Below are 8,067 nucleotides of genomic sequence, written 5' to 3'. Positions count from 1 at the left end.
CTGCATTCCCCTTTCACCTGGTTCTCCTTTGAAAGCAAATGTATAGCAGGCATTAAATAGGTTAGTGGGTTGGGGGAGGAAAAAGAAGGGTTAGTCTACATTTCCTGCCCTGGAACAGACTTCATGAATTCTAAGACTAAACTGGGAACCATTTTCAAGTGTAATTACCAGGAGGCAGAATGTTTTATCAGAGTTTTGAAGCTGGTCTGGAGGTCCATCCTGGGCTACAGTGACTGTGACAGAGCAAAATTTGGCCAAGAGAAAAAAACCCGGAACCATTGGATAGAAAGTGATCACATGATAAATTATCGAAAGAATAATAACAGGTGAAGCAAGAATGCTGAGACCTGTGCTGGCAGGATCAGCGTCTACAAGAAAACCGTGTGAAGAGTTGAGTAGGAAATCTTTGCAAGTGAGTCCAGGACTGAGGCACCTGAGGGGACACTACAGAGGGGTTGGGGCTTGACTAAGCTTTTCCAAACCTCAAGTCATAAATTTTTGCACACAGAAAACCCTGAATGTGAAAAATAAGTCAGCAATGACCCGGACTAGGGACTACACATTATGTTCCAAGACTGTAAGTTAAACTAAGCCCTATGAATTCCATTCAGCAAATGTAGAACCAAGGGCTTAGTGGATGCCCAAGCTGTGTTACTGTGGGGAACAATCAAAGACAAGGTCCTTGACTCTCAGATGTTTAAAATCATATCTCCATCCAGACTTTCCAGGTGGCCATTCCAGCATAACAGATCCTGACGGAAAACTGGTGAATGGGATTAACCTTGTAGTCTCAGAGCACTATTAGATTATTCTGTAGCCCAAAACTTTCTACCACCAATATGAGAAAGTTAATTTGTAAAGGTAATAATTCCCTTCTCTGTAACAATTCTTCTTACACCTTCGGTAACATCAAATTTCTCATACACAAGAGAGGCCAGCAAACCCAGCCCTGAGTGTGCGAATCACTCATCCATTTCAATGAACAGAGCTCATGATTCCTGAGGAATATTACCTTCCCAGCTTGAAGAGAAGATACTGTAACTTGGAGGCATCCTGTAACATCTCCCATTAATAAGCATCTTTCCCCAAAATGTGTTCCATAGATATGTTGCAAAATTAGCATTCCATCATCAAATGTTTAGGAAACAGGATTAAACTGAGTTTAAAAACATTAACACATTTTAAGTCAAAAATTTTCTTAAGCATAAGTTCTGACTCTTTAATGCACATTGTGAATTGGTAAGTGGAGAATGAAGTATTTTTCAATCTTATTTGACCATGGAACCCTTTCCTCATAAAAATGATTTCCAGCACAAGTAGTCCATGGAACACACTTTGGGGGCCCCTGGGTCAGGACCCCATGCCCAAGAACGTGCTCTCCTGCAGACTTTTCATGCACCCACATGGAGAGTGCTCTCCTGCAGACTTCGTGCACCCACATGGAGAGTGCTTTCCTGCAGACTTCATGCACCCACATGGAGAGTGCTCCCCAAAGTGATTCCAGACGAGCTGGGCCCCTGGCAACTCTGTGCTACTATGAGCAGTTCTACTTATGATGAAAATGTCCATGACTAATATTCATTATGTTTTCTCCAAATATTTTTCCTTGTGGTCACAAGACTTACTTTCTACCCAGATCTCTTGTTTGGATGTGATGAGGGAGCAGAGCGTGGTCTCTTGGGTCCCATCCCCAGTTCTATGTTGGCACATTACTCTGTGTCACATTTAGCTGACCAGCCCACTGGGAACACTTCATCCTTTTCCTCTGAGGGAGGTGATGGGGCTTGGGATGTAGGTTCAGCCCTTAGCAGGACCATTTTGCACAGAGAAAAGCATGTTCCCAAGTCCCAGACGACTGAACCCCCAATTCTAAAGCAGCGTGTGGGCTCCAAGGGAGATGGGGATAGAGACCATTGCTGACTCAGCACTTCCTGTCACCACCCCTGCAAAAACAAGCCCAAGAGCAGATTCCAGACGGCGGGTCAGCATCTTCTGTACAGGTGACAGCACATGAGATTTAGTCAGCCTCCGCCTCAAGTCCTCCTGCCGAAGTGACAATGTGGCGACGGGAGGCATGCTTCTGGCGGGAAGCTGTGGCTCTCCCCTAGTTGGCTGCCTCGGCACTTCCGTCTCTGGTGAGGACTCTGCCAATTTGGGAAGTGTGGACTCAGGTCCCAAAGAGTCAGATGGGCTGACGCCTGGTTTCTATCTTGTTCTTGGAGACGTGAAGTCTAGAAACCACAGTCCATCTGTTTTTCAGGGAGTTTTTTTTGTTTGTTTAAAACAACACCTATTCCAAACATTAAGAAGGAAAGACAGCCGTGTGAATGTTCTGTAAGCCAGATATGGGAGAGTGGCCACAGTCTGAGTACACGTGCCCACCTGGAGGCCAGGAGGGGTGATCCACAGGTAGGAGAGGCCGTTCCCACAGGGCTGGGCAGCTGCACAAACATGCAGCACTTCTCCGCAGAGCTCAGAGAGCCTGGCGAAAGTAAATGGATGAAGTCATGCTGGCAGGCCTGTGTCACCCTCAAGTAATTAGGACCCTTGCCCAGTCACCTCCCAGACCCAGCCTAGCACGCTCACAGGTGTGTTGTCCTTCCCCAGCTGGCATAACAAGGCCATGCCAGCTCTGAGGCCAAAACAGCCCCGGGCCATCCAAGACTAATAGGGCCAAGCCATAGAAGCCAAGCCAGGAAGAGGAGAGAAGGCTCTCCTCCGCAAAATGAAAATAAATTGCAAAATGGCATTGTGTGTGTGGTTGCCCTGGAGAAGAAGGATCTGGGGAGGAATAAAAATAGAAACTCTGTCAAGGCTCTTCAATGAGGTTCGTTCCTGCACAGCCAGGTGGTCCCAGGGCAAAGGGCAGGAGTTAATCGCCACAGTGCTGGGACACACAGGAGAAAGAACCAGAGGCAGATTTTGCCTGGGCCCCAAACCCACTGTAACTCACGAGAGGTCAGGGAGACAAGACCTCCAGCACTCCTGTGCTTTGTTGCACAGACTTTTCATTGATCATCTCATTTATGAGATAGATGGGATTATTGATTAATCACATTTTGTAAATGAGGAAACCCAGGACCAAGAAAGTGTGGGGCTTCACGTTTGCTCCACCAGTAACTGGGGCAGATGGGATTCAAGCCCGTGCCTCTCCCACCACGGCATTTGTGTTTTGTTCTTCTGCTAATAGTTCAGGTCACCAAAAGCCTTCAGTGAGCAAACCCCTTTTCCTATTGGAGCAGTTGGAGAAGGAGGGGAATATGCTTCCCAAAACCTGCTCAGAAAGTCACATGTTTTAACTTACTCTGTTCTTATCCCTACTCTTGGGTTAGGCTGCAGAGAGGATGAGCTGAATTTGCTGTGGGGAGGCCTGAGGGATAACCAAAGGTGAGCAGTGGGGGTGAGGTGGGAAAACATGATGGCTTCATCCTTGCTCTCCTTTGCCTACCCTCCCCTCACCCTCTAGCCCAGTGATTTCACAAGTCAGAGTTCCTCCAAAATCCCAAAAAAGGGGTTATGGGTGCCTGCCATTAAGGCCACCCAGAACCTAAGGGTTTGTGCTGTCAAGGTCTCCACAGTGAAATCCCTGCATTCAGATCATCCTGGATGGTCCCATGGCTTTGTGCTGATCACACACATTCCTGGCATATTTTTGGTGCCTTTTTGTTTTTGCATAGAAAAAGCTGTCCTTGTGTTTGTGTCCCATCTTATACCTTTGGAGGCACTTAGCTAAAGATATTTCCGAATTTGCCCACATTGCTACTATACATACAGACAACTGGCATTCAGGGATGTCTTCTGTCCGTTTGAGAGCTGTTGATGAAGAGCATGGTGATGGCTTTTTGTCCCCGTGGGACGCAGCTCCGTTTTGTGTTCTCTGCAGCTGATACGCCTCATCTCAAGAATTTTAGTCTACTGGGCATTGCTCTAATTGTGCCTTCTGATGATCTCTTCCTTTTCCTGTCCAGCACTCTCTCCATTCTCTTGCTCCTATTAACCCATTTCTATCTTGCCCTTTCTACTCACCACTTCTGCTCTTTATTTTCATTTAGATAAAAATGAACGTTGCTACGTTATTTCTATTGACAACTAACACAGCTGTTTCCAAAAGGCTCAGAAAACTGACCAATTGTGGTACATTGATCAAAACTTTCAGGGTCCTCCACTTTCAAGAGCAAACAACATAATTAAGCAAAGTTTATGGAGCGCCCACTAGTCACTGGTGCTCTCTCTTCAGCTAAGAGTGACCCAGACACACCAGCCAAGGGAATTTCAGTGGACACAGGCAGGGTATCCTGTGTGCAGACCAACTCCCACCCTGCAGTCCAGAGGCAGTGAGAGCACGGGGCAGCTGCCCAGGGCCCTCAGGCTGGGCTTGGTAAGTGAACTCTCTGTGAGGAAGCAGCTTCCTCCCCTGTGCCTGCCTCCACATTCCTTCCTTTCACCCCATACCATCTGAGATTTCCGTCCAACTCCCTTTGCGTTTTGGCTCAACCCTTAAATAACCTGAGAGACCTTTGGAGGTCAAGTATGTCAAAGAAAGATGATCAGGAAATGCAGAGACAGCTACTCAAAGGTGAGAAAGGGGAGGAACTGAATACACTCAGGTGGGCATAAGCCATAGAAATGCAAAGTAGTCCAGCCTTGGGTGTAGCCAGGAATAGCAAGCTGAGCCAGTGGGAAGAAAGAACACTGGAGCAACTAAGAGAAGGAGAGATAGTAACCGAGGATGTGATACCGCCCAGCTCCATGCCTCCTCCTGGGTGTCTCTTTCAGGAACAGTCACCCTTAGAAAGTGACTATTTTCAAAAGAAATGGTAGAGAAGAATCAGGGGCCCGAGTGGCTGGAGAGAAGAGCTATTCAGAGATCTTTGTTTTAGGTCATCCGGCACAAGAAAATGAGGACAAAGGAGACCCTCTGTGTCTCAATAAGGGCCACGTATTGGGGGCAGCTTCTCTTGTGCTCTCTCAGGAATTTAAAACCCCACATGAAGACATAAGTGGAAAAGTCCCCAGAGTCCCTATTCTGTGTAGTGAAGTAATTCTCCCCTCCTGCATTCACATTGGCTAATGGCTTTTCTGGGTCCTAGAAATAATTTTATTTCTGTAACAGACATGCGTATCTCTTAGGGTGAAAGTCTAACACCAGCCTGAAAAATCCGAGACTTGGTTTTTAATTCTAGATCTCAACTGGGTGCTCTTTGACAAGTCATCCTCCACACACTTCCTGGGGCACCTCTTAGGAGCCAGCTACGTTGCTTGGTGCAGAAAATTCAGGGGTAACTAAAATACTCTATCCCTGGGCTTCCATTTTATCTGTAAGATAAGAGAACTGGAGAGAAGACATCCAAAATCCTTCCAAAATCCATTTTTCTAGCCAAAGAAGACTAGTCTGGGGAGACGTTATGAAGCAAGTTTTGTTGCCATCTCTATTTCCACTTATTAAAAAGAAAATCAAATCCATGGTTTCAGCCATTTGACATATAGTCATTCTCACCAAAGATAAGTTTTATCTTTTTAAAATATATATACTAGCCATTTGGAAGCTATCACATACAGGAGCTTGTGATTTCCAGGCACTCCATAAATCATTGTATCTTCCCAACTGACATTATCAGGATGTTTCTCAGTTCCATATTTTTGTGCCTGATCAATATTGCTAGGTACTACTATTTACACTCAGTCTTCCTTACCAAATCAGAATATCTCCACTGTTTTTCAAACTAACGTGAACCTCTATTTTAGACAGTACCTGACTGCTAGGAGTTCACATCAAATTCAGGCATACTGATTTAGATACCCAGAAAGGACACACAAAAATCTCAATAGAAGGAGTAAAAGTCAGAGATATATGTTGTAGTAAATGCTTCGTAGGGCAGGCAAACAATCCATTTTGTAGTAACCCAAAGTAAACCAAGGCTAGGCATGTTGAGAAACGAAAAACTGGCAAAGCAAGAATGTACCGGGATTTGCAAAACTATAACAGAGGTATGCAAAGATAAGAAATGGCGATTTCTCATCTTAGTCTTCATGACTGAAGAAAAACATATATGTAGAGGTTTGAGAATTAAGACAAAATCACTGAGATCTGGAAGGGAGGTGGTTAGGACAGAAGAGCACTGGCTTTGTCTTCCAAGAGACCTGGGTTTGAATCCAGCTCTGCTATGTATTTGACATTTTAATATAGACAAGTTATAGGCTTTCCAAACCTTATTTTTTCTTAATAATACTTCATAGGAGTCAGGCCTCTGAGCCCAAGCCAAGCCATCACATGCCCTGTGACTTACATGTATATGCCCAGATGGCCTGAAGTAACTGAAGAATCACAAACAAAGTGAATATGCCCTGCCCCACCTTAACTGATGACATTCCACCACAAAAGAAGTGTAAATGGCCAGTCCTTGCCTTAAGTGAGGACATTACCTTGTGAAAGTCCTTTTCCTAGCTCACCCTGGCTCAAAAAGCACCCCCACTGAGCACCTTGAGACCCCCACTCCTGCCCACCAGAGAACAAACCCCCTTTGACTGTAATTTTCCTTTACCTACCCAAATCCTATAAAACGGCCCCACCCTTATCTCCCTTCGCTGACTCTCTTTTCGGACTCAGCCCACCTGCACCCAGGTGAAATAAACAGCTTTACTGCTCACACAAAGCCTGTTTGGTGGTCTCTTCACACGGACGCGCATGAAATTTGGTGCCATGACTCGGATCAGGGGACCTCCCTTGGGAGATCAATCCCCCGTCCTCTTGTTCTTTGCTCCATGAGAAAGATCCACCTATGACCTCAGGTCCTCAGACCGACCAGCCCAAGAAACATCTCACCAATTTCAAATCCGGTAAGTGGCCTCTTTTTACTCTCTTCTCCAACCTCCCTCACTATCCCTCAACCTCTTTCTCCTTTCAATCTTGGTGCCACACTTCAATCTCTCCCTTCTCTTAATTTCAATTCCTTTCAATTCCTTTGGTAGAGACAAAGGAGACGCATTTTATCCGTGGACCCAAAACTCCGGCGCCGGTCACGGACTGGGAAGGCAGCCTTCCCTTGGTGTTTAATCTTTGCAGGGACGCCTGCCTCGGTCCTTCACCCTTAGCGGCAAGTCCTGCTTTCCTGGGGCAGGGGCAAGTACCCCTCAACCCCTTCTTCACCCTCAGCGGCAAGTCCTGCTTTCCTGGGGCAGGGGCAAGTACCCCTCAACCCCTTCTCCTTCACCCTCAGCGGCAAGTCCCGCTTTCCTAGGGGGCAAGAACCCCCCAATCGCTTATTTCCACACCCCAACCTCTTATCTCTGCGCCCCAATCCCTTATTTCCGTGCCCCAACCCCTTCTCTGCTTTTCTGGAGGGCAAGAACCCCCCACCCCTACTCCATGTCTCTACTCTTTTGTCTGGGCTTGCCTCCTTCACTATGGGCAAGCTTCCACCTTCCATTCCTCCTTCTTCTCCCTTAGCCTGTGTTCTCAAAAACTTAAAACCTCTTCAACTCACACCTGACCTAAAACCTAAATGCCTTATTTTCTTCTGCAATGCCACTTGACCCCAATACAAACTCGACAGTAGTTCCAAATAGCCAGAAAATGGCACTTTCAATTTTTCCATCCTGCAAGATCTAAATAATTCTTGTCGTAAAATGGGCAAATGTTCTGAGGTGCCTGACGTCCAGGCATTCTTTTACACATCTGTCCCTTCCTAGTCTCTGTGCCCAGTGCAACTCGTCCCAAATCTTCCTTCTTTCCCTCCCGCCTGTCCCCTCAGTCCCAACCCCAAGCGTCGCTGAGTCTTTCTAATCTTCCTTTTCTACAGACCCATCTGACCTCTCCTCTCCTCGCCAGCTCAAGCTAAGTCCCAATTCTTCCTCAGCCTCCGCTCCTGCACCCTGTAATCTTTTTATCGCCTCCCCTCCTCACACCTGGTCTGGCTTACAGTTTCATTCCGTGACTAGCCCTCCCCCACCTGCCCAGCAATTTACCCTTAAAAAGGTGGCTGGAGCCAAAGGCATAGTCAAGTTTAACGCTCCTTTTTCTTTATCCCAAATCAGATAGCGTTTAGGCTCTTTTTCATCAAATATAAA

General features: G+C 46.4%; 1 annotated feature.

Moving 5' to 3' along the window:
• Positions 6,119-6,707: an enhancer, noted in NCBI's record as "NANOG hESC enhancer chr11:130628565-130629153 (GRCh37/hg19 assembly coordinates)". NCBI's record gives its function as "activates a minimal SCP1, AML or CMV promoter by ChIP-STARR-seq in naive H9 embryonic stem cells {active_cell/tissue: H9 hESC(naive)}" and the evidence as "EXISTENCE:reporter gene assay evidence [ECO:0000049][PMID:30033119]".

This window comes from Homo sapiens, chromosome 11, assembly GCF_000001405.40.
Source record: "Homo sapiens chromosome 11, GRCh38.p14 Primary Assembly".
NCBI lineage: Eukaryota > Metazoa > Chordata > Mammalia > Primates > Hominidae > Homo > Homo sapiens.
Note: the sequence above shows the minus strand (reverse complement) of the source record. Positions and strands in the feature narration are given on the sequence as shown.